This window comes from Homo sapiens, chromosome 2 (genome assembly GCF_000001405.40).
Source record: "Homo sapiens chromosome 2, GRCh38.p14 Primary Assembly".
Classification (NCBI taxonomy): Eukaryota; Metazoa; Chordata; class Mammalia; order Primates; family Hominidae; genus Homo; species Homo sapiens.
In genome coordinates, this window is record NC_000002.12 from 131082999 (window position 1) to 131109445 (window position 26447).

Sequence of the window (26447 nt, forward strand, 5' to 3'; positions counted from 1 at the left end):
TCACCTGAGGTCAGGAGTTTGAGACCAGCCTGGCCAACATGGTGAAACCCCATCTCTACTAAAAATACAAAAATTGGCCAGGCATGGTGGCTCGTGCCTGTAATCTTAGCACTTCGGGAGGCTGAGGTGGAGGAATCATGAGGTCAGGAGACCAAGACCATCCTGGCCAACATGGTCAAACTCCGTCTCTACTAAAAATACAAAAATTAGCTGGGTGTGGTGGCGCGTGCCTGTAATCCCAGCTACTCAGAACGCTAAGGCAGGAGAATCGCTTGAACCAGGTAGTCGGAGGTTGCAGTGAGCCAATATTGCACCACTGCACTCCAGCCTGGCGACAGAGCGAGACTCCGTCTCAAAAAAACAAAACAAAACAAAACAAAAACAAACAAAAATTAGCCAAGTGTGGTGACGCACACCTGTAATCCCAGCTACTTGGGAGGCTGAGGCACAAGAATCACTTGAATCCAGGAGGTGGAGATTAGCAGTGAGCCAAGCTCATGCCATTGCACTCCAACCTGGACAACAGAGCGAGACTTTGTCGCAAAAAAAACATGGGGAAAACCCTACAAGTAACCAAAATGTTCTTCTAACAGAGGATAGTTAAGTTAACCAAGACATATCCAGAACATGAAATATCACGCAGCTGCTTTTCAAGAAATGTTTAAAAACAGAATAATACAATGTTAAGTGAAAACAAAGTAGAGTATTATACTGCATCCTGCATTACACAGTATGATCCCATATAAACACCTATGTGTATAAAAATGTGCATCCCTGGCACAAACAGAAAAAAAGTCTGAAAAGAAATATATAAAAATATGAACAGTGATTGACTCTAGATGGGAGTGGATTTAGTGGTCCTTTTGCAATTTCCTGTATTTATTTATTTATTTATTTATTTATTTATTTATTTATTTATTTTCCCAGACGGAGTCTCGCTCTGTCGCTAGGCTGGAGTGCAGTGGCATGATCTCAGCTCACTGCAACTTTGCCTCCCAGGTTTAAGTGATTCTCCTGCCTCAGCCTCCCGCATAGCAGGGACTACAGGCGTGCGCCACCACACCCAGCTAATTTTTGTATTTTTAGTAGAGACGGGGTTTCACCATGTTGGCCAGGATGGTCTCATCTCTTGACCTCGTGATCCGCCCACCTCAGCCTCTCAAAGTGCTGGGACTGTATTTCTCCCCTCCGCCCCCCCCACCCCACCCCAAGACAGGGTCTTGCTCTGTTGCCCAGGCTGGAGTGCAGTGGCACAATCTCAGCTCACTGCAACCTTGACCTCCTGGGTTCAAGTGATTATCCCACCTCAGCCTCCCTAGGAGCTGGGACTACAGGTGTGGTGCCACCACATCTGGCTAAGTTTTGTATTTTTTTTTTTTTAAATAGAGATGAGGTTCCATCATGTTGCCCAGGCTGGTTTCAGACTGCTGGGCTCAAGATATCCACCCACCTCAGCTTCCCGAGTAGATGGGACTACAGGTGTGTGCCACCATGCCACTCTAGTTTCCTGTATTTCTTCAAAAACTTGTTAAGTTTTTTTTCCTAAGAAAGACTAACTGGTTACAGCCCAGCACCTCTATGAATCCATTCAATGTTTTATCATCCATGGATCTTTCTTTTTCCTGACAAGTTCAAGAACTTGCACAGCCACAACCAGGACTCTACCCCTCCCCAACAGAAGTACTGTTGGGAACTGATTCCCATTCAGCTCTCTAGTAAGCTCCTCTGAATCTTATCCAGGGTATTATTTACTTTTATTTATTTTTTAGACGTGGTCTCGCTCTGCCAGTCATAGCTCACTGCAGACTTGATCACCCAAGCTTAAGTGATCTTCCCACCTCAGCCTCCAGAGTAGCCAGGACTACAGGTGTGCATCGCCACGTCTGGCTCATTTTTAGTAGAGACAGAGTTTCACTACGTCACTCAGTTTGGTCTTGAACTCCTGAGTTCAAGTGATCCTCCCGCCTTGGCCTCCTAAAATGCAGTGTATTAAAGTGTAAGCTTTCACTATTCCTCATCTGGTAAATCACTCACTGACGTATGTGGTTATAAAGATTAAGGTGATCTTTAAGATTAAAACAGCATGTGTGGGGGTAGGGGGGTATATGGGAACTCTCTGTACCTTCTGCTCAATTTTGCTGTGAACCTAAAACTGCTAGACCTAAAAAAAAGTCTATTTTTAGGCTGAGTACAATGGCTCATGCCTGTATTCCCAGCACTGTGGGAGGATCGCTTGAGGCCAGGAGTTCAAGACCAGCCTGGGCAATATAATAAGGTTCCATCTCTGAAAAACATGTAATAAGTAACAAAACACAAAATGTGCATTTTATGTCTGTCTTCCCCACATCCCCATTTAGAATGTAGCCAAAACAAGCAGGGAACAGTTGCACTTGGTTCTGTTTAAAGGCAATATCTCCAGCATCAATAACAACATCTGGTACAAAATAGCTGCAACTACCTACCGACTTTCTAAAAAACAAATGCCTTTCAGAACACTCTAGGTGTCAAAATCCATTACGAAGACAAAATACAAAAAGAAACCACTTCAAATTTTCAGCTCATTTGTCTCATTTAGAATATTCACAACCAAGCAATCCTGTAGTAAGAAGAAAATATTAGGTCACATCCTTAGCCTCTGTAACAGGAAGTTCTGGATTAAATCAGGAATAAACTGGCAACTTTAGTAACTAAAACATTCATTACCTGAACTGTCTAATTTTTTTAAACTTCTAAACCAAATCCAAATGCCAGATTTGTCATGCCATTCACAACTACAGCTACGTGATAGGTCTTGACCAGCACTGACCAACAAAACTTTGTACAATGACCACATCCTTCTCCATCTGTGCTGTCCCCTACAGCAGCCGCCTGCCAAGAGTGCTGAGCATCTGAAAAGTAAGGCTAAATGAGGCTACTGTGAGATTGATCTTTTAGCTTTATTTAACTTCAACATAAGTAGTCACATGTGGCTAGTGGTTACTATACTGGACAGTGCAGGCCTACAGTTCAGAGTAGGGAGGAAACAAGTATACAAAGGCATAGCAGGTAGGCAGGAGAATCAATTGTGTGTCTTACCCTACAGTTTAGGAATAAACATACTAGCAACTGCCAATCCCTAGTCCCCTGTACTTTTAACCCATGCTTGGCGGATCTGCAACCAAGAAATTGTGGGGGTCTGCAAATACTTCACCTACTTCTCTGGTTCAACTATCATCTCTCAAGAAGCAAATATTTCCCAAATGTTATTTCTTTCTTCTGTGCCAGGAGCTACTAATTTTTATTTCTTAATTGAATTCCAGATAAGCAAAGCACTACACAAAGGCCACAGAGAAAACAAAATGGCAAGTCACAATCTCTTCTGAGTTTTACAATCTGGAAAAGCGCTGTCCAACAGAACTGTTCACAAAGATGGAAACGAGCCCTGGCAATATGGCAAGACCCTGTCTCTACAAAAAGTAAAAAGATCAGCTGGATGCGGTGGTGCACACCTGTGGTCCCAGCTACTTGAGATCAATTGAGTCCAGGAGTTCGAGGCTGCAGTGAGCTATGATCGTTATCACTGCAGTCCAGCCTAGACAATGGAGCAAGACCCTATCTCAAAAACAAAGATGAAAGCCTGTCTGTACTATCCAAATATGGTAAGTGAATTTTTAGTTTAATTAACTTCAACAGTCCTATGTAGGTGACAGCCATCGTATTGGACAGTGCAAACATATACATAATAAGATTAAAAGTATGAATACTTTCTGATACAAGGCAACAAGTGTTAAGAGTCACAAGAGAAAGGCCGGGCGCGGTGGCTCACGCCTGTAATCCCAGCACTTTGGGAGGCCGAGGCGGGCGGATCACGAGGTCAGGAGATCGAGACCATCCTGGCTAACACGGTGAAACCCCGTCTCTACTAAAAATACAAAAAATTAGCCGGGCGAGGTGGCGGGCGCCTGTAGTCCCAGCTACTCGGGAGGCTGAGGCAGGAGAATGGTGTGAACCCCAGGGGGCGGAGCCTGCAGTGAGCCGAGATTGCGCCACTGCACTCCAGCCTGGGCGACAGCGAGACTCCGTCTCAAAAAAAAAAAAAAAAAAAAAAGAGTCACAAGAGAATAAAGTGTTCTGAGGGCTGAGAGGGGAGAGCAAAAATTCTGTGGAGGAGGGAAGAAATAGGAAAAACTTGATTAAAGGGCAGCGTTAGGCCAGGCACAGCGGCTCATGCCTGTAATCCCAGTACTTTTGGAGGCCAAGGTGGGAGGATCACTTGAGGTCAGGAGTTGGAGACCAGCCTAGCCAACATGGTGAAACCCCATCTCTACTAAAAATACAACAAAAATTAGCCAGGTGTGTTGGCAGGCACCTGTAATCCCAGCTACACAGGAGGCTGACGCAGGAGAATCACTTGAATCTGGGAGGCAGAGGTTGCAGTGAGCTGAGATCGTGCCACTGCACTCCAGCCTGGGCAACAGAGCAAGACTCCGTCTCAAAAAATAGTAATAATAATAATTAAAGGGCAGCATTTCCAATAAACAATGGATAGGATCAAATCAGCCTCAGAAATGAGAACAAGCAAGATGCATTTTAAGAACATTAAGCAACTGAGTTTGTTTGGAGCTTAGGCTCTATGTAGGGAATCAGTAATAGATGATTGTGGAGACACAGCTTAGGTACAACCACCAAGTGGAGACCCTTAAATACAGGCCTGAGTGGAGATGTCCTCTGGTAGGCAAAGAAGCTCCTGAGCAACTCTGAGGTAAACAGAGTTACCACATGACCCCACAATTCCACTCCTAGGTACATACCCAAGAGAAGTGAAAACACATGCTACACCTACAGTTGGACATGAACATTTGTAACAGCATTATTCCTAACAGCCAAAAACTGCAAATTCAAATGAAGTACTGAAGGATGTTAGGAGGCTCTCCTTCCATAATGACCTGACTTATAGCCTAGACCAATAATAATAAAACTCTACTTGGCTGGTTGCAGTGGCTCATCCCTGTAATCCCAGCACTTTGGGAGGCCGATGAGGGCGGATCACTTGAGACCACGCGTTCGAGACCAGCCTGGGCAACATGGTGAAACCCAGTCTCTGCTAAAAATACAAAAATTAGCTGGGCGTGGTGGCACACACCTGTAATCCCAGCTACTCGGGAGGCTAAGGCATGAGAACCGCTTCAACCTGGGAGGTAGAGGCTGCAGTGAGCTGAAATCGCACCACTGCACTCCAGATGGGGCAACAGAGCAAGACTCTGTCTGGGGGGAAAAAAAAATCAAATGGAGCCTTTACATCTAACTTCCAGTTTACAAGAAACGCAGGAGTAGGAGGGAATATGCTGAATGACACCATGAAACAATCAGACAAACCCCAAAAGTGGGACATTCCAGAGGACAAATGACCCAGTTTCTTCAATAAGGCAATGGTGGGGGGAAAAGGGGGCGGGAGAGGAGGAAGGCCAGATAATTCTAAATTAAAATAGATATAGACATAAAAGCAATAGCTGAATTTTGTTTGGACTCGATTTAGACTGAAACAACTGTAAACAGAGTTTAAAGATATCTGGGACACGACTGAATACTGGGTATCAGCTGGTATGAAACAATTATGTTTAATCCTGGTAACAGTACTGTGATTATGTATAGTTACATAAATTTGTAAAGATACAATAAAGTATATAAAGTCGAAAATGATACATCTATACTTTAAAATATTTCTACAAAAAGAGCAAATAATCTCTACATCAAGTAGAAATTATGTAAATGCTAATAATCTTTACATCAAGATGTTGCATATAAGGTTATGCACTGTACTGCCGCATTTTCAATTCTGCATAATGCAAAACTAAAGAAAAAACACACCATCACCAATCTACCTGAAATGTTAGTGCTACTAAAATCTCCCTGCAACCACCAACTTTCCAGTCTAATTTGCTGTGGACTAAGAAACCCAAACCCAAGGCTGGATCTAGAGCGTACCACTTTTTTTTTTTTTTTTTGAGACAGAGTTTTCACTTTTGTTGCCCAGGCTGGAGTGCAATGGCGCGATCTCAGCTCACCGCAACTTCTGACTCCCAGGTTCAAGCGATTCTCCTGTCTCAGCCTCCTGAGTAGCTGGGATTACAGGCATGTGCCACCACACCCAGCTAATTTTGTATTTTTAGTAGAGACGGGGTTTCTCCACGTTGGTCAGGTTGGTCTCGAACTTCCGACCTCAGGTGATCCGCCAGTCTTGGCCTCCCAAAGTGCTGGGATTACAGGCGTGAGCCACTGCACCGGGCCGAGCTTACCACATTTTTAGTTTCCCATTTGAAATGACTCAACTGTCAGAATTCTTATGGGTGGTTTGACACCTGCATTAGAATAGACAAATGTCAGATTACCTTTAAAAAGATGACAGCAAAAATTCCTAACTTGAAAATCAAATCATAATCAGAAGAAAACTCTATCTTTAAAATGAAAGACCTGGCCAGGCGCAGTGGCTCACGCCTGTAATCCCAGCACTTTGGGAGGCCAAGGCGGGTGGATCACAAGGTCAGGAGATCGAGACCATCCTGGCTAACACGGTGAAACCTGTCTCTACTAAAAAAAAATACAAAAAGAAAATTAGCCACTCACAACTACTTGGGGAGGCTGAGGCAGGAGAATGGTGTGAACCCGGAAGGCGGAGCTTGCAATGAGCCGAGATGGCGCCACTGCACTCCAGTCTGGGCAACAGAGCGAGACTCCATCTCAAAAAAAAAAAAAAGAAAGAAAAAAGAAAGACCTGGCTGGGCATGGTGGCTCACGCCTGTAATCCCAGCACTTTGGGAGGCCAAGGTGGGCAGATCACGAGGTCAGGAATTCCAGACCAGCCTGGCCAACATGGTGAAACCCCGTCTCTACTAAAAATACAAAAATTAGCCAGCGGTGGTGGTGCACACCTGTAGTCCCAGCTACTTGGGAGGCCGAGGCAGGAGAATCACTTGAACCCAGGAGGCAGAGGTTTCAGTGAGCCGAGATCATACCACTGCACTCCAGCCTGGGCGACATGGACGCTCCATCTCAAAAAAAGAGGCCGGCGCAGTGGCTCACGCCTGTAATCCCAGCACTTCGGGAGGCCGACGAGGGCGGATCACGAGGTCAGGAGATCGAGACCACAGTGAAACCCCGTCTCTACCAAAAATACAAAAAAAAAAAAAAAAAAAATTATCCAGGCACGGTGGCAGGCGCCTGTACCCAGCTACTCAGGAGGCTGAGGCTGGAGAATGGCGTGAACCCAGGAGGCTGAGCTTGCAATGAGCCCAGACCGTGCCACTGCACTCCAGCCTGGGCGACAAAGCGAGACTCTTGTCTCAAAAAAAAAAAAAAAAAAAAGAAAGAAAGACCTATCACTATATACTATTGTTTCCTGGTTTGGAAACATACCATCTCTAAACAAAGTTCCACACAGAGCACTAAGTATGAAATACTATAACACGAGGCCTTTAAAATTTTATATCAACAAATCTAATTTTAAGAGGTTTAGATTCACTCTCAGAAACACCAATATACAAGATACAATACTCAGAAAAATCAACATTGGAAATTCTCAGTAATGTCTGGCAACATCAACAAGAGCTTGTAGACTTGGTGGCAAGTGCCTGTAACACCAGTGCTTTGGGAGGCTGGGGCAGGAGGACTGCTTGAGCCCAGAAGTTTGAGATCAGCCTGGGCGATATAGTGAGACTCCCATCTCTACAAAATGAACATATATATGTATAATATATACAAATTTTTTGTTTGAGATGGAGTCTCGCTTTGTTGCCCAGGCTGGAGGGCAGTGGCACAATCTCGGCTCACTGCAAGCTCCACCTCCCGGGTTCACACCATTCTCCTGCCTCAGCCTCCCCCAGTGGCTGGGACTACAGTTGCCTGCCACCATGCCCGGCTAATATTTTGGTATTTTTAGTAGAGATGGGGTTTCACCATGTTATCCAGGATGGTTTTGATCACCTGACCTCGTGATATGCCAGCCTCAGCCTCCCAAAGTGCAGGCATTACAGGCGTGAGCCACCACACCTGGACAAAAATATATTTTTAAAAAAGAAGCTGGATACGGTGGCTCACGCCTGTAATCCCAGCACTCTGGGAGGCCAACGCGGGTGGATCACTTGAGGTCAAGAGTTCGAGACCAGCCTGGCCAACATAGTGAGATGAGACCCCATCTCTACTAAAAACACAAACATTACCTGGGCAGGGTGGCATGTGCCTGTAATCTCAGCTACTCCGGAGGCTGAGGCAGGAGAATCACTTGAACCCGGGAGGAGGAGGTTGCAGTGAGCCGAGATCACTCCACTGCACTCCAGCCTGGGCGACAGAACAAAACTGTCTCAAAAAAATAAATGAATAAATAAAAAATAAAGCATATAGGCCGAGCGCGGTGGTGTCTCCAGCACTTTGGGAGGCCGACGTAGGTGGACCACCTGAGGTCAGGAGTTCAAGACCAGACTGGGCAACATGGTAAAACCCCGTCTCTACTAAAAATACAAAAAATTAGCTGGGCGCAGTGGTGTGTGCCTGTAATCCCAGCTACTCGGGAGGCTGAGACAGGAGAATCCCTTGAGCCCGGGAGGCGGAGGTTGCAGTGAGCCGAGATCACGCCATTGCACTCCAGCCTGGGCGACAGAGCGACACTCCGTCTCACAAAAAAAAAAAAGAAAAAAGAAAAGAAGTTCTCTCCCCCAAACTTTACCTTCATTACCAAGGTTTGGGTTTGCATTTTACTGGGAGGAATTCATGTATTTCTGCACAGTACAATCAGACAGACTTAACAGACTGGACACAAGGCATGAAAAAACTATTACTCTATTACGCTGGTGTACTGTTCTTTTAAAATTGTGCTCGGCCAGGCGCGGTGGCTCACGTCTGTAATCCCAGCACTTTGGAAGGTCGAGGCGGGCGGATCACGAGGTCAGGAGATTGGGACCATCCTGGCTAACACGGTGAAACCTCGTCTCTACTAAAAAAAAAAAAAAACAAATACAAAAAAATTAGCCAGGCGTGGTGGCGGGCGCCTGCAGTCCCAGCTACTTGGGAGGCTGAGGCAAAAGACTGACGTGAATCCGGGAGGCGGAGCTTGCAGTGAGCCGAGATGGCGCCACTGCACTCCAGTCTGGGAAACAGAGGGAGACTCCGTCTCAAAAAAAAAAAAAAAAGTGCTCAATTGATCCAGGAAAAGAAACTGTCTAAGACAACTTGGGTATAATTTCCCTTTAAACTACGGAACTCCACCAAAGTAAGCCTGCTTTGTAAAGACAAAGAGAAGCAAGATCTTCACAATTTCTGCAACACTAGCTTCAAAATTAGAATAGCCTTACACTGCTCAAATCTTGGCTGTCAAAGCAAAAATAACCCACTCCTTCATCTACAAGAGCTTAAAAATGTGTCCTGTTTTTGCCAAAACCAAAAAGTTTTATTTAATCTAGAATCTTTCATCCATAGTATTTGAGAAAAGTGATCTCAAATTACACAAGGATGACCTGAAAGTTTAAGGAGTGGAAACTATATAAACCTTTTTATTTATAAAGCTTCCTTGCATGCGAAAACACTGCAAAATATTCTTGTTTGACTTTAATGATTAAACATTAACTCAAACAGCCCATGAGATGCACACTTCATGTTCACATACACTATAAAACAGAAATACCCTTATTTGTGGACGTCGTAAAGGCGCACTGCACTCTTTTTTCAAAGTTAACCCAGGCTAGGCCACGAAACGTCCTTTCTGAAGGAAATCTTAAAAATCTGTAATTTAAATCGTGCCTTTTCAAGCTGGAAGGAGAACGCTCAGATTCCGCCAAGCAAAAAAATAAAAATAAAAATTATCTTTACTTCGTGGGTAGACAAAGTGAGCAGTTACACATTGGAAATGACTATTGTCACAAAGCTCTGCCCCCGGGTTTCACGCTCGCATTCCTGACGGCTGTGACCCCGACCTTTAGGAGAACGCCCCGCGCCGCGAAGCCACCTCGGCCACCTAGGCGGCAGGCCCGCGCCGCCCGGACCGCACCTGCACGCGTACGTGTCCGGCCGAGCTCCGCCCCCGGCCCCCGCCCGGCCTTGCCCGCGGCACAAAGCGCAGCCCAGGCCGGTCCAGACGCCCAGCGACCCCGAGCCGCGGGCCGACCTTGGCGCCGCCCCGAGCCGGCCGCACAAAGCGCCGCACTTCCGGCCTGGACGCGCAGTCGCCCGCTGCCCGCCCCCACTCACCGCGCCGCGGCGGCGACCTGGGCCTCAGTGACCAGCGCACGCCGGCCCGCGGCGGGCTTGGCCGTGGGGCGAAACAAGGGGGGCGTGCCGAGGAGACCTGCTACGATAAGAGGCTGACCCTCCGAGCCCCGCGTCTCCGCCGCCTCCCGGACGCCGCGCTCCCGCTCGCTCGGCTCCGCTTGGCCCGGCCCGCCTCTCCGCAGCCCGCGCTCCCCGCCGACGCTGCGCAGCCACCGGAGCCGCCGACCTCACTTCCGCCTGAGCGCGCCGCGACGGGGGCGCGCCGGGCACGTGACTGCGCAGCGTGCTCGCTCCCGCCGGCGCCCTCGAGACGCCCGGATGGACGAGCGCGAGCGCGAGCGCGGAGTGGGCCGGTCCCAGTTGGCGAAAGGGCCGGGTGTAGCTGTAGTTTTTTTATTAACTGTCTGTGAAAAAAGTATTTAATTTATATTTTGAGATAGTCCCGCGCCGCAGAAACCTTTGTGTGTGCCCAGACGCCAGGGCGCGGATCCTCAGGCCGCACCCGGGAGTCGAGCACACCCCGGGTGACCGCCACTACGGGGTCGGAGCGGGGCGGAGCTCAGCTCACAGATTCTTTGCCAGTGCGGAGGCTGCGGGCGCCCGCTCAGGAGTGCAGATTTTAGAGAATGCAAGTCAGCGTTTCAAGTGTAGAAGTGCGGGATCATTTCTATAGACAAGAGTTCAGGGAAGTGTACTAGAATGTTAGGGGGTTTTTTGGTTTTTTTTTGAGACGGAGTTTCGCTCTTGTCACCCAGGCTGGAGTACAATGGCGCGATCTTGGCTCACTGCAACCTCCGCTTCCCGGGTTCAAGCGATTCTCCTGCCTCAGCCTCCTGAGTAATTGAGATTCCAGGCGCCCGCCACCACACCTGGCTAATTTTTGTGTTAGTAGAGACGGGGGTTTCACCATGTTGGTCAGGCTAGTCTCGAACCCGTGACCTCAGGTGATCCACCCACGTTGGCCTCCCAAAGTGCTGGGATTACAAGTGTGAGCCACCGCACCCGGCCAAATGTTAGTATTTTTATGTAAGGCTTAGTGTATAGTTACAATGATTTGGTTAGTTCAGGGTGTCTCTCTGGGGGAGGTATGTTTATTATTTCGTATTAAAGAGGTGCGTGTCTTGGTGTTTGTGTTTGGGGTGTCGTCTGGTCTGAGCTAGGTACAGGACGACAAAGGAGGGAGTTATTGCAATAAAGATTAGTGATGGAAGGGAGGAGGCCTGGCTCTGGTCTTTTTTCAGTCGTTTATGAAATAAAAACAGATGGGCGCGGTGTCTCACGCCTTTAATCCCGGCACTTATAGGAGGCCGAGGCGGGCAGATCACGAGGTCAGGAGTTCAAGACCAGCCTGGCCAACATAGTGAAACCGCGTCTCTACTAAAAATACAAAAATTAGCTGCGCGTGGTGGCGCACATCTGTAACCTTAGCTGCTCTGGAGGCTGAGGCAGGAGAATCTCTTGAACCCGGGAGGCGGAGGTTGCAGTGAGCCGAGATCGGGCCACTGCACTCCAGCCTGGGCGACAGAGGAAGACTCCGTCTCAAAAAAAAAAATAAAAATAAAATATAAATGTGATAAAAGGACAAGAAGAAAACATGGGGAAATTCCTTTTTAGTATTGGAGTAAAGAAGGCTTTTCTACATTATTACTTGAAATCCAGAAGTCATGACTATGAAAAGCTTTGGTCGGCAAAAAGCACCATAAGCAAAGTCAAAAGATAAATGATTAACAAGGAAGAAATAGTCCCAACACATGTAATAGACAAAGCTAATCTCTTTAATATTCCAAAAGCTTCCAGAAGTCAACAATAAAAAGCCCTACCACCCAATAGAAAAAGGAGAGTTCACAGCAAAGGACTAAGTCTGGCTGTTAGTCATATGAAAAATATCCAATCTCACTTCTATAAAGAAAAATGCAAGTTAAAACTCTTTGAGGTAGCAGTTTTCACTGTGATTGGCAAACATCCAAAAAATTGACAATGCTATTGGTAAGGCTGCCAGGAAGCTCGCACTCTCAGACATTGCTGGATGGGAAAGGGGATCGTCTGATGATGTGTGTCAAAATAAACGCACAAACAATGTTTCATTCAACAGCTGCACTTCTGGGAGTTTGCCTACAGAGATACTTATAGATGTGTGAAATAAAATGAGTTCACACCTATTAATTGCAGCATTGTGCATAGTAGCAAAATACTGGAAACAAACCCTAGTGTCCACACCTAGGGAAATGACTGAGTAAACTCTGGTTCATCATGCAGTGAAATAGCCTATAACTTGAAAAAGAAATGGGGAAACTTTGTATGTACTGAAATGAAAATATCTCCAAGGTAGACTATTCAATGAAAAAAAACCAAGGTATGGAACTCTGTGTAAGAATAGTATGTAAAGCCGGGCACGGTGGCTCACGCCTGTAATCCCAGCACTTTAGGAGGCCGAGGCGGGTGGATCACCTGAGGTCAGGAGTTCGAGACCAGCCTCAACATGGGAAAACCCCGTCTCTACTAAAAATACAAAATTAGCCAGGCGTGGTGGTACATGCCTGTAATCCCAGCTACTCGGGAGGCTGAGGCAGAAGAATTGCTTGAACCCAGGAGGCGGAGGTTGCAGTGAGCCGAGATTGCCCCATTGCACTCCAGCCTGGGCAACGAGAGCGAAACTCCGTCTCAAAAAATAAAAAATAAAAAAAAAGAATGTTATGTAAAAAGGTAGAAATGAAAAAATATATCTGTATTTACTTACATTTACAGAATATTGTCATATTTACAGAAATACCAAAAAATAGCCAAAAATCTACCAGCAATGATTATCTGTGGTGAGACTGGGAAAAAGTGGGCTCTGAGCAGATAGGGGACAGAGGTGAGAAAGATAATTTTCATGTTTGGGTTTTTTTTTTTTTTTAATTTTTGAACCACGTGAATACATTACCTACTCTAAAATTAAATTAAAAATAAATAAAAATCTTGGCCAGGCGTGGTGGCTCACGCCTGTAATCCCAGCACTTTGGGAGATTGAGGCAGGCTGATCACGAGGTCAGGAGATCAAGACCATCCTGGCTAACATGGTGAACCCGTCTCTACTAAAAATACAAAAAAATTAGCCAGGCATGATGGCACGTGCCTATAGTCCCAGCTACTGGGGAGGCTGAGGCAGGAGAATTGCTTGAACCCGGGAGGCGGAGGTTGCAGTGAGCCGAGATCACACTACTGCACTCCAGCCTGGGTGACAGAGCGAGACTCTGGCTCAAAAAAAAAAAAAAAGAGATTGTGACCATCCTGGCCAACATGGTGAAACCTCGTCTCTACTAAAAATACAAAAATTAGCTGGACGTGGTGGGGCGCGCCTGCAGTCCCAGCTACTGGGGAGGCTGAGGCAGGAGAATCGCTTAAACCCAGGAGGCGGAGGTTGCAGTGAGCCAAGATCGCACCACTGCACTCCAGCCTGGCAACAGAGTGGGACTCCGTCTCAAAAAATAGTAATAATTTAAAATATATATATTTCTGATGGGAGTACAAAATGGTATAATCACTTTGGATAAAGTTCTAATCATTTCTTGTGAAACTAAACATCTGGCCTGGTGTGGTTGCTGAAGCCTGTAATCCTAGCAGTTTGGGAGGCTGAGGCATGCAGATCACTTGAGGTCAGGAGTTCCAGACCAGCCTGGCCAACATGGTGAAACCTCGTCTCTACTAAAAATACAAAAATTAGCCGGGCGTTGTGGTGGGCACCTGTAATCCCAGTTACTCAGGAGGCTGAGGCAGGAGCATTGCTTGAACCCGGGAGGCAGAGGTTGTAGTGAGCCGAGATCACGCCACTGCACTCCAGCCTGGGTGACAGAGGGAGACTGTCTCAAAACAAATAAATAAACAAACAAGCAAACATCAGCCAGGTGCAGTGTCTTATGCCTGTAAGCCTATAATTCCAACACTTTGGGAGACCAAGGCGGGTGGATTGTTTGAGCCCAAGAGTTCAAGATCACCTTGGGTAATATATCAAGAGCCCCTTTTCTACAAAAAAAAAAAAAAAAAAAAAAAAACATATATATACACACACACACACACACACACACACACACACACACAGGCCGGGTGCGGCGGCTCACAACTATAATTCCAGCACTTTGGGAGGCGGAGGTGGGTGGATCACCTGAGGTCAGGAGTTCAAGACCAGCCTGGCCAACATGGTGAAACCCGTCTCTACTAATAATACAAAAATTAGCCAGGCATGGTGGCGGGTGCCTGTAGTCCCCACTACTGGGGAGGCTGAGGCAGAAGAATCGCTCGAATCTGAGAGGGAGAGGTTGCAGTGAGCCGAGATCACACCACTGCACTCTAGCCTGGGCGACACAGAACAGCAAGACTCCGTCTCAAAAAAACAAAACAAAAATTAGCTGGATGTGGTGGTGCACTCTGCAGTCCCAGCTACTGGCAGGGGGCAAGTAAGGTGAGAGGATTGTCAAGCCCAGGGGTTGGAGACTGCAGTGAGCTATGATGATGCTACTGCACTCCAGCCTGGGTGACAAAGCAAGTCTCTGTCTTAAAACACAGGTCAAGAATTCGAGACCAGCCTGGCCAATATGGTGAATCCCCATCTCTGATAAAAATACAAAAATTAGCTGGGCATGGTGGTGGGCACCTGTAATCCCAGTTACTCGGGAGGCTGAGGGTGGAGAATCGATTGTATCTGGGAGACAGAGGTGGCAGTGAGCCGAGATCATGCCACTCCACTCCAGCCTGGGCAGCAGAGTGAGACTCCATCTCAAAAAACAAAACAAAACAAAACCAAAAACAAACAACAAAAAACTACACATCTATCTCATCACTCAGCAAATTGTACCAAAGAGAATTGCAATCATATATCCATGCAAAGACTTGTACAGAAATGTTCATTACAATTTTATTGATAATAACCTCAAACAGGAAAGCATTCATGCATCTATCATCAAAAGAACAGCTAAACAAGCTCAGGGATATGCTGGGGCCACTAGTGTAAGCCAAAGGACAAATTTCCAGGAATTCTGTAAGCCATCTGTGAAACGCAGCCAATATTAAAAATTATACTGTGTAAATTTAATATTAAAAACAAAGGGAATATATGATCAAAATGCATTCCTGCCGGGTGCGGTGGCTCACGCCTGTAATCCCAGTACTTTGGGAGGCCGAGGTGGGCAGATCACAAGGTCAGCAGTTCGAGACCAGCCTGGCCAACATGGTGAAACCCGATCTCTACTAAAAATACAAAAAATTAGGCGTGGTGGCAGGTGCCTGTAATCTCAGCTACTCCGGAGGCTGAGGCAGGAGAATCCCTTGAAGCCGGGAGGCGGAGCTTGCAGTCAGACAAGATCGCGCCATTGCACTCCAGCCTGGGCAACAGGGCGAGACTCTGTCTCAAAAAACAAACAAACAAACAAAACTACAACGACAAAAACAAAATGCAGGCCGGGCACGGTGGCTCACTCCTGTAATCCCAGCACTTTGGGAGGCCGAGGCGGGCGGCTCATGAGGTCAGGAGATCGAGACCATCCTGGCTAACACGGTGAAACCCCGTCTCTACTAAAAATACAAAAAAATTAGCTGGGCGTGGTGGTGGGTGCCTGTAGTCCCAGCTACTTGGGAGGCTGAGGCAGGAGAATAGCGTGAACCCGGGAGGTGGAGCTTGCAGTGAGCCGAGATCGCACCACTGCACTCCAGCCTGAGCGACAGAGCGAGGCTTGTCTCAAACAAACAACAACAAAAAAACCCAAAATGCATTCCTTCCTAATGACTTTATTATGTGCCCTTGAGGCTCCTTGCATCTATTATACCTGCCTGTGGACATGCTGTATAGCACCATGCTGCTGGCCTTCCTGGCTCTCTCCCTTCAGTTAGTTTGAGACCAACCTGGGCAATATATGGAGACCCCCCCACCAATCATCTCTACAAAAAATAAAAAAATTAGTTGAGGGCTGAGTGTGGTGGCTCATGCCTGTAATCCCAGCACCTTGGGAGGCCGAGGCAGGAGGATCACTTGAGTCCAGGAGTTGAAGACCAGCCTGAGCAATATAATGAGACCGTGTCTCTATTTAAAAAAATTAAAATTACTAGGCCGCGCGCAGTGGCTCACGCCTATAATCCCAGCACTTTGGGAGGCCAAGGCGGGTGGAACACGAGGTCAGGAGATCAAAACCATCCTGGCTAACACAGTGAAACCCCGTCTCTGCTTAAAATACAAAAAATTAGCCGGGCGTGGTGGCGGGCGCCTGTAGTCGCAGCTACTCCGGAGGCTGAGGCAGGAGAATGGCGTGAACCCGGAAGGCGGAGCTTACAGTGAGCCAATATCGTGCCACTGCACTCTAGCCTGGGCGACAGAGTGAGACTCTGTCTCAAAAAAAAAAAAAAAAAGTTAAAATTAAATTTAAAAACAATTAGTTGGGTGTGGTGGCACACACTGTAGTCCCAGCTACTCTGGAGACTGAGGTAAGAGGATCACTTGAGCCCTGGAGTTCAAGGCTGCAGTGAGCTGTGGTCATGCCACCGCACCCTAGCTTGTGCAACAGAGTGAGACCGTGTCTCAAGAAATAAAAAACAGAAAGGCCAGGCGCAGTGGCTCACGCCTGTAATTCCAACACATTAGGAGGCTGAGGCAGGCAGATCACAAGGTCAGTAGTTTGAGACCAGCCTGGACAATATGGTGAAACCCCATCTCTACCAAAAAATACAAAAATTAGCCAGGTGTGGTGGCGTGTGCCTGTAGTCTCAGCTACTCAGGAGGCTGAGGCAGGAGAATTGCTGGAACCTGGGAGGCGGAGGTTTCAGTGAGCCGAGATCACTCCACTACACTGCAGCCTGGGTGACAGAGCGAGACTCCATCTCAAAAGCAAACAAACAAACAAACAAACAAACAAAAAACAAAGTATTTGGGGTTGAGGGCTTCGGATTCAAAATGGGAGGCCAAGAACTCATTTTGTCCCTCCATAGATGCCTGTGAAATAGGTGACAGATGTTCAACAGTAAACAAGAAACACTCCAAACTGAAGTAGCAGTAGAGGCTCAGGTGGGCTGGAGGAGAAAGGGCACTCACTTTCCTGTGGATGGTTGAAATAGGCAGAAAAGGCTGCAATCCAAAGCAGGGAGTGAAGGGGGAGAGAAACAGACCTGTAAACAAGGACATTAACTGCAAGGCTGCCTGTACCACAGCTGTGCCCCTTTTTATTTCTCCATTCTTGTGTACATGGGCAGCTTCCTGTTTATAGTGGGCAAAACCCCAACTACTATCCTCAAAAGAAATGGATTCCACTGTCTTTGGCCGGGCGTGGTGGCTCATGCCTGTAATTCCAGCACTTTGGGAGGCCGGGGCAGGCGGATCACCTGAGGTTGGGAGTTCGAGACCAGCCTGACCAACCTGGAGAAACCCCGTCTCTACTAAAAATACAAAATTAGTCGGGTGTCGTGGTGGGTGCTTGTAGTATCAGCTGCTTGGGAGGCCGAGGCAGGAGAATCGCTTGAACCTGGGAGGCGGAGGTTGTGGTGAGCCAAGATCGAGCCATTGCACTCCAGCCTGGGCAACAAGAGTGAAACTCCGTCTCAAAAAAATAAAAAAAAGAAAGAAAGAAATGGATTCCACTGTCTGAAGAAAGCCATGGCTTCTTAGTAGATGTTGAGGGCAAAATGAAGTAAAATTTAGGCATGCAAAAACTCATTGTTTCCCACCCCAAAAAGCAGTTACAAAGTTTCCGTATAGGAGAAGCAAAGGTGCAGCCAGCATGCTGGAACGGCTTCCTGCGCTGCACTCTGCATTGCTTGCCCCTGCTCTTCTCCCTAGTGCTGTGTGTCTGTTTGGGATGGACCTGGGTGTTGGTAAACATTGTGGGGCAGCTGAAATCCTACTGTTCCACCCTGGCTACTTTTATACATATAAAAAATTTCGGCCGGGCGCTGTGGCTCACGCCTGTAATCACAGCAATTTGGGAGGCTGAGGCGGGCGGATCACGAGGTCAGGAGATGGAGACCATCCTGGCTAACATGGTGAAACTCCGTCTCTACTAAAAATACAAAAAATTAGCCGGGCGTGGTGGCGGGTGCCTGTAGTCCCAGCTACTTGGGAGGCTGAGGCAGGAGAATGGCGTGATCCTGGGAGGTGGGGCTTGCAGTGAGCCGAGATCCCGCCACTGCCCTCCAGCCTGGGCGACAGAGCGAGACTCCGTCTCAAAAAAAAAAAAAAAAAACACAAAGAAAGAAAAAGTAAAGGAAGAGTGCCTGTTATCTCCTATTCCTTGGAAGCTCCACATTCCCAATTATGTGGGGTGTAGCAGGGGAGACATGGTATTTTACTTCATGTTCTATTTGGAGTTTTTTTTTTAAATTTACTTATGTTTTTGTATATTTTGTTTTACTATGTTGTCCAGGTTGGTCTTGAACTTTTGGCCTCAAGTGATCCTCCTGCCTCGGCCTTCCAAATGTTGGGATTTCAGGTGTGAGCTAATGTGCCTGGCCTGGAATTTCTTTTTTAACCACCAGAACTTCTCACTTTATTTTCTTCAATAAAGAAACGCATACTAGTAACTGGGCAAGAAATGGAGTGGGGCTTAGCAGCAGGTAATTTGGTTTGAGCCAGTTGAGGGCCACAGAGACAGGTGACTGATGGGTACAGAGTCCCAATGCAACTCTTTGAACTCTTGGACTTCTCCCTCTCAGTTTCAGACAAGAGGCTGCACATTCAGATAGGGGGCTGGAAAGCAGGCGTCCTCACCTGCACCCAGCCTTCTTTCCCCTGGCCTCTTCTCAATAAACATGAACAGGAAGCCAGTTTTTCTTTTCTTTCTTTTTTTTTTTTTTTTTTCTGAGTTGGAGTTTCACTCAGTCGCCCAGGCTGGAGTGCAGTGGCACAATCTCAGCTCACTGCAACCTCCGCCTCCTGGGTTCAAGCTATTCTCCTGCCTCAGCCTCCCAAGTAGCTGGGATTACAGGTGCCCGCCACCACGCCTGGCTAATTATTTTGTATTTTTAGTAGAGATGGGGTTTCACCACGTTGGCCAGGCTGGTCTCGAACTCTGGACCTCGAGCGATCTGCATGCCTCGACCTCCCAAAGTGCTAGGATTACAGGCGTGAGCCACCACGCCCAGCCCAGAAAGCCAGTTTTACTGAATCAGAAAACTTGTTATGGGACACTCCCTCCTCCAGGTACTGGAACGCCTACTTAAACTGAACTTTATTAAAATATTACTTTTTTTTTGTCTGGGTGCAGTGGCTTACGCCTGTAATCCCAGCATTTTGGGAGGCCGAGGCAGGTGGATCACGAGGTCGGGAGTTTGAGACCAGCCTGGCCAACATGATGAAACCCTGTCTCTACTAAAAATACAAAATAAATAGCTGGGTGTGGGGGCGCACACCTGTATTCCCAGCTACTCAGGAGGCTGAGGCAGAATAATTGCTTGAACCCAGGAGGCGGAGGTTGCAGTGAGCCTAGATGGTGCCACTGTCCACCAGCCTGGGTGACAGTGAGACTCCATCTCAAAAAAAAAATTATTATTATTTTGAGGCAGGGTCTCATTCTTTTGCTCAACCTGGAGTGCAGTGACACAATCATGGCTCACTGCACCCTTGACCTCCCGGATTCTAGTGAAGCTTCCCTCTCAGCCTCTCAAGTAGCTGGGACTACAGATGCATGCCACCATGCCAGTCTAATTTTTTTATTTTTATTTTTTTGTAGAGAAAGTGTCCCACTGTGTTGCCCAAGCTGGTCTTGAACTCCTGGGCTCAAGTAATTCTCCTGTCTTGGCCTCCCAAAGTGCTGGGATTATAGACGTGAGCCATCACACCCAGCCTTAAATATTACTTTTTCCTGTTGTTGAAGTGATACATATTCATGAAAGAAAACTTGGAAAATGCAGAAAAGTAGAAAAAAGAAATGTCATCCACAGTCCCATCACTCAGAGAGAATGTGTTAGTGTATTTTTGGATACTCCAAACTCAGACCCTGAAAGGTCCCTAAGACTGACCCTGAAGGTGGTCAGGGCTAGTATAGCCTTAATGAGGGCTGGTCAAGAAGCTTGTTGATGTCAGGCAATTTACCCGAGCTCATCCAGAAGCAGCGGAACCAGGAAGAACCCCATGTCACACAAATCTCTGAACTCTTGTGTTGACTAAGCTATAATATCTTGCAAAAGATGGGATTGCAGGCATCATAGGACTCCCTACCCTGCATTTTTTAAATTTTCCCCAGAGAGGAGCTGGGTTAAGACAGGGGCCCTGATTGGCAGAGTTTGGGGTTTTGAAGACCAATAATAATAGGGCTCTTCCAATATTTTTTTTAAGAGTTTTTCCCTTTTAAATTTAGATATAATTTATACACAGAAAAATGTACAAATCTTTTTTTTTTTTTTTTTTTTTTTTAGATGGAGTCTCTCTGTCGCCTAGGCTGGAGTGCAGTGGCGTGATCTCGGCTCAGTGCAACGTCTGCCTCCCGGGTTCACACCATTTTCCTGCCTCAGCCTCCCAAGTAGCTGGGACTACCGGCGCCCGCCACCACGCCTGGCTAATTTTTGTATTTTTAGTCTCTGAGTATCTGGGATTACAAGCGCACCACCAGGCCTGACTAATTTTTTTTTGTATTTTTAGTATGGACGGTGTTTCACCACGTTGGTCAGGCTGGTCTCAAACTCCTGACCTCGTGATCTGCCTGCCTCGGCCTCCCAAAGTGCTGGGATTACAGGCGTGAGCCACTGTGCCCGGCCAAAAATGTACAAATGTTAAGTATAGTGTTCAGCTTGATAAAGTTTTACTTACACACACGTACCCACCACTCAGATCAATGTATAGAACATTTTCAGCACCCTAGGAGTGGGGTTGCCAGGAGGCTCTCTCAAGCCTCTTTCCAGGCAGTACCCCTACACCACCCCCCAACCCCTGCTAGGCTGGAACGCAGTGGCTTGATTGCAGGTCAAACTTCTGGGCTCAAGCAATCCTCCTGCCTCTGGCTCGCAAAGCTCTGGGATTACTGGCATGAACCATCTCACCTGGCTAACATTTATTTTCCCTCTATTGTCTTCAGAAAACCCCCAACTTTTCATCTGGAATAATTTTAGACTACAAAAAAGTTATAAAGCTAGTATACCCTTCACACAATTTCTCCTAATGTTAACATCTTACATAACCATTATACATTTCTTATAACTAAAAACTACTATTACCTAAACTTAAATTTTATTTTAAGTTTATAGCCTAGCTACATCACCATGTTGCATATGACAGTGTCTCAGTTTTTTTCTTGCTTTTGATTACCTTGATAGTTTGAGGAGTACTGGTGAGGTGTTTTGAGGAATATCCCACAAACGAGATTTGTCTGATGTTTATCTTTCAGTTAGACTGAGGTCACGGTTTTTTTTTTAATCACATGTCAAGGGCAAGTGCAGTGACTAATCACTTTGATTTTCACGTGGAGTGGCTCTACAGCCCTCTTTCCACACTGTACTCTTGGAAAGGTCGTCCCCAGGCATAGGCCACACTCAGGGTGGGTGTGGACGGATTACCACACCCCTCTGGATGAGGTATTATTAGAATTCCTCTGCAAGGAAGATTATCCCTTCTCCCTCATTTATTTAATCACGTATTTATAGCAGCACGGGCTCTGGGCTGTTTTATACTTTAGGTTATAACTTAATGCAATGTACTTTATATTGCTGCTCAAATTGTCCCAGGCGCGGCCCCCGGAAGCTCTCTGGGTAGATCCCTGCGCCCTTGGACGCCCGGTCCTTCAGTTTTTTGAGCACCTCAAGCTTCTGGCCTACAAAACGCTCCCGGCTCAGCTGGAGCTTTCTGCGCCCGGGTCCTAGAGTCGCCCATTTCTCTAAGGCGCCTTGGCCCTATTTTTAGAGAGCGGTATTTAGAAACCAAGATTAGGGTGCTAACAATTTTTTTTTAAATTTTTATATTTTTAAGACAGGATCTCACTTTGTAACACTTCCTTTTAGTGGAAGCGCCGACCTCCTGGGAGACCCACGCCCCCTGCCGCCTTCCGTCCCGTTTCTCAGAAAACCACCCAGACACCCCGCCCCACCGGCCGGGGCCCGCCGCGCATGCGCGCCGAGGCGTGACGTCAGAACGGCGGCCAGGACGCCGGACGTGCGGCAGTTGCAGGCGAGCAGGCGAGGAATCGCCGTGGCGTCTTGGTGTTCTCCACGCTGGTTCGCAGGTGAGTGTCCCTGTTTAGTCCGGACGACCCTAGCTCCTTTCCCCTCTGGCCCGCGCCTCTCCAGATTCTCCTCTAGAGCTGCCCAGCCTCGCGCCCCTCTGAGGGGACCCCGCACCGCGCCACCTCCGCGGTGTCCCCACTCCCTAATTTTCCCTGAGGCTCCTGGCCACGGGTCCGCCCACCTCCCTGGACCACCCTGACCTTCCCCAGGTCCGCCCTCTCAGTCTCCCCTAGAGCAGCCCATTCGAGAGCCCTCCCAGTGGGCCCCCCCGGCCTCTCAGACCCCTTCCCATCGCTTCCCCGGCGTCCGCCTCCGGTCCTTTCCCCGAGCCCCTCCTCTCCGGCCCCGCGGACCCTCCTCCTTTCCCGACTGCAGCCTCCGCCTTGCATCCTTTCTGGCCGCTCGGGAGTGTCCCACATGTCTGACTGCCGGGACCTGCTGCGGCCCGCCGCCTGGGGTCTCCCGGCGTCCGATCTCTACCCCTGCTGCTCCCTCTGCTCCAGGGAACTTGCCTTCTCAGTTCTCCTGCCCAGAGGTCTCCCCTCCTTAAGTCCCGGGGGGCGTTGAGGCTTTACCCTCGCGGTGCGGTCCGCCCCCGCTGCATTTCACCTGCTCTTGGCCTTGCAATGTCTTTAGTCATAAGTGCTTGGTGTACCTTATCTTACATATCTCTCTTCATGTTTGATTCTGTTACTCAACTAGATTGAAAACTCCGGAGGTCAGGGATTTGCATAGGGATCCCCGCCCCGCCACCCCGCTTAAATCTCAAATGTAGACCGGTTCAGGGTGGGTGGAGGAAAGGAATGAGGTGGAGTGGTCACTGTAAAAAATTAAAGGAACATGGTTAATTCAAAATAATACTGACTCATGGTCTCAGCCTTTAAATTTTTAGTGCTTAGGAAAGGGTGGAACCACCACCGAGGGAGGAGGGCTGACAGCTGAGGGGAGGAATATTCCAAGGTCTTCTGTGGCCTTTGGTATGAACCAGTACCAATTCAGGAAGTGACTTGTCCGAAGTCACATGAGGAATTAGGACCCGAGCTGGCACTGGTAACTGCCTGTTTAGTGTGGCCCTCAGTATTTGTTGACTAAACTAATGACCAAAACATGTATGCACAGACACAGCTGTGCGTCTGTGCCCATGCAGTGGGTGTGTCTGCCTAAGGACCTGTGGGGGTGTGGGAATACTGCTGTGACGGTTCAATTGTGGTGCTCAGGAGTGTTCCCTAGGTTCAGAAAGTTCCTAACCCTGGGCTGGTTGGCTGGATATTGATAGGACTGGAGCTTGTCTGGGCTTCCTTTGTGCCTGGTGTTTACTCTCTGTGGTGGTGATCTCTTTACTCGACTCTTCCCTATTCGTACTGATCTCCCTGAGGACAGGAATCAAACTGTGTTGCAGGGTTTCCCTAATAAACAGCATAGTGTTTGGCACTTTGTAGGTGGTCAGTAAATGCTTATTGAAGAAGGCTGCAGAAAAGAACTCAGAACCTGACAGCGGTTCTTTGCTAGCATTATATTTTAAAGGCGGTGGTACATTCTGTAAGTAAATTTCCTGCTATTCTCAAGGACTGAGTTGATTAAATGTGTACAGCAGTGGTATAGAGAGGACAGATACTCTTGTGGTGTTACTCCTTGGGAAGGTGGAGGTTTCTCTCAGCTCTTTCTGAAAGCTTTGCTTATGCTTTTCAGCTTGCATTAATATTTTTGTTTCTCCTTTCCTCTGCCTGCCTTCTTACTGTTTGTCTAAAGAAATTAAAGAATTACCTTATTAATAACAGTAACTACCAAAAACTGCAAAACACACTGTTAAAAATGCTCCCAAAGTGGGGGCTAATTGACCCAGTTGTTTTGTTAGTTATATATTTGCTTCCACAGTGGATCATGGAAACGGAAAGTTGGACTTCCTTGCCTCTTTGCTTTCTTTGCCTGTCTGCCCTTTGATGGTGCTTGTATTAGGCTTGTTGTTAAGAAGTGGTTCCCAACTGGAAATGGCCAATGCCACGTGGGAACTGACCTCTACATGTTGATGGGTCACCCAACCTTCTTTCCCTTCTGTTTCAGAATGTACCTGTGACATCTCTTTGACTCTCCACTGTTGCCCTTGAAGAACAGAGATGAGTTTTCTTCCTTTTTCATAAGGAAGCCACTTTTATAGCGAAAGAGAGCTGGAGAACTGGGATATCATGAGGAGTTGTAGACAGTTAAACCTGAATTCTAGCTTTTGGAACAAAATAGTAATGTAATTGTAGCAGTTCTCACTTTTTTATTTTTTATTTTTTTGAGACGGAGTTTCACTCCTGTTGCTTAGGCTGGAGTGCGATGGCGCAGTCTCGGCTCACTGCAACCTCCGCTTCCCGGGTTCAAGGGAGTCCCCTGCCTCTGCCCCCCAAATAGCTGGGATTACAGGCGTGCGCCACCATGCTCGGCTAATTTTTTGTATTTTTAATAGAGATGGGGTTTCACTATGTTGGTCAGGCTGGTCTCGAACTCCTGACCTCAGGTGATCCGCCTGCCTTGGCCTCCCAAAGTGTTGGGATTATAGGCGTGAGCCAACGCGCCTGGCCAATTCTCACTTTTGGACCATCTACTACAGGGCTGTTTGGACATACCTCCTTTAATTGTCACAGTAACCCCATGACGTAATTGGTTGTGCCTGGTCATACAGGTAAGAAAACTGAGGCTTAGAGAGGTTTAGAATTTTGCTGAAGGTCATACTAGTGAGTAGAAGGCAAAGTAGGCTTCAGGCTTAGAACTGTCAGATTCCAAAGGCAGTATTTTTTGTCCATCTGTTGTCTGTTTCGATTCAATGCTTTCAAAGAGATACAAATTCAAATTTAAAATAATTTAAATTGTTGAATATGGCTTACATTTTAAAGCTTTGCATAGGTTTTATTGGCATAAAAATAATGTTCTTTTGCAGCTAGTTTGCTGGTGTTTTATTCTCTAGAGACCAACAGCTAGGGCTTAGTGTTTATCTGATGAGTTTTAGTTTATGCATTCAGTTTTGCTCCAGGATATAAATAGTGAAATGTTGAATTAAGTTATGGAGTGGTGTGAAATTCAGCATGCTAAGGCAATCAAACAGAAGTCTTCTGAGCCATTTGAGAAGCAGCTTGATGTCCTTGTTCTTAGAACAGGGCTGTCCAATCTTTAGACTTTCTTGGGCCACATTGGAAGAAGGCCATACATAAAATACACTAACCCTAATGATAGCTGATGCACTAAAAAATAAAATTGCAAAAAAATCTCATAACGTTTTAAGAAAGTTTACAAATTTGTGTTGGGCTGCATTCAAAGCTGACCTGGGCTGGGGCCATGAGTTGGACAAGCTTGTTCTAGAATATTTTCGGCAAATTTTGGTAAGGGGGAAAATAAGTAATAGTAATAATAGTAGTAAATAGTAATAATTGCTGTCAAAGCAGCTACCATTTATCGAGTTCTAGTAACTGTGAGGCACCATGCCAACTACTTACATATTATTTCACCCAATTTTCCGAACATCCTGTCAAGTAGGTGGTGGGAATTTTCGTTTTATAGATCAGGCTTGGAAACGTGACTTGTCCGATTGAGTCAGGATCTGAACATAGGTCTTTTAACTCTAAAGCTTATACCCAAACACTGGGTTCTGTGAAATTTCAAAAGCATATGATAGGCTGACTGCAGTGGCTCATACCTGTAATCCCAGAACTTTGGGAGGCTGAGATGGAAGAATCCCTTGAGCCCAGGAGTTCGAGACCAGCTTGGGCAACATAGTGAAACCTCGTCTCTACAAAAACAAAACAAAATGTGATCAAAATCATACTTCATGATTTTTGGTTTCTAAAGATACTCTCTAAATTTCTCTCCCCAATTTAAAAACGAAAGCAGAGCACTGTTGGAAGGTTCAAATAGGTAGATTAATTTAGGTTGGTTTTTTTGTTTTGGTATAGTTGAAGATAATTCAGGTTATTGTTTACATGTTTACATTTATCAAAATAATACATGTACATAGATTGAAAGACCAAATAGGCTGAGCGTGGTGGCTCAAGCTTTTGGAGGCCAGCACT

The 26447-nt window shown here is 46.9% G+C and overlaps 2 protein-coding genes across 32 annotated transcripts in view, besides 4 other annotated features; one reads left to right on the top strand and one right to left on the bottom strand.

The window, feature by feature from the left end:
• The window catches only part of FAM168B (family with sequence similarity 168 member B), a 45585-nt gene extending 35123 nt beyond the window's left edge, over positions 1–10462 (bottom strand). The window contains exons 1-3 of one of the 12 annotated variants that reach the window (NM_001321743.1): positions 10216–10462; positions 8811–8965; positions 6045–6338 (exon numbers count right to left, since the gene is read on the bottom strand). The gene's annotated coding sequence lies outside the window, so the exon portion shown is untranslated. Of the gene's footprint in view, positions 1–5964; positions 6339–8810; positions 8966–9652; positions 10165–10215 lie in introns of those variants that run through there. The other 11 variants (XM_017003327.2, XM_047443337.1, XM_047443336.1 and 8 more) reach the window with 11 other exon arrangements.
• Positions 9916–10635: a silencer, noted in NCBI's record as "silent region_11964". NCBI's record gives its function as "represses an Ori minimal core promoter by ATAC-STARR-seq in GM12878 lymphoblastoid cells {active_cell/tissue: GM12878}" and the evidence as "EXISTENCE:reporter gene assay evidence [ECO:0000049][PMID:35858748]".
• Positions 14909–15080: a silencer, noted in NCBI's record as "fragment chr2:131855480-131855651 (GRCh37/hg19 assembly coordinates)". NCBI's record gives its function as "represses an EF-1alpha promoter that drives an FKBP-Casp9 reporter gene in an ReSE screen in HepG2 liver carcinoma cells {active_cell/tissue: HepG2}" and the evidence as "EXISTENCE:reporter gene assay evidence [ECO:0000049][PMID:32094911]".
• Positions 15714–16214: an enhancer, noted in NCBI's record as "H3K4me1 hESC enhancer chr2:131856285-131856785 (GRCh37/hg19 assembly coordinates)". NCBI's record gives its function as "activates a minimal SCP1, AML or CMV promoter by ChIP-STARR-seq in naive H9 embryonic stem cells {active_cell/tissue: H9 hESC(naive)}" and the evidence as "EXISTENCE:reporter gene assay evidence [ECO:0000049][PMID:30033119]".
• Positions 22062–22191: an enhancer, noted in NCBI's record as "active region_16531". NCBI's record gives its function as "activates an Ori minimal core promoter by ATAC-STARR-seq in GM12878 lymphoblastoid cells {active_cell/tissue: GM12878}" and the evidence as "EXISTENCE:reporter gene assay evidence [ECO:0000049][PMID:35858748]".
• PLEKHB2 (pleckstrin homology domain containing B2) overlaps positions 22338–26447 on the top strand; it is a 44510-nt gene continuing 40400 nt past the window's right edge. For all 20 annotated transcript variants that reach the window (NM_001309452.2, XM_011511385.4, NM_001267065.2 and 17 more), the window contains exon 1: positions 22338–22400. The gene's annotated coding sequence lies outside the window, so the exon portion shown is untranslated. The remainder of the gene's footprint in view (positions 22401–26447) is intronic.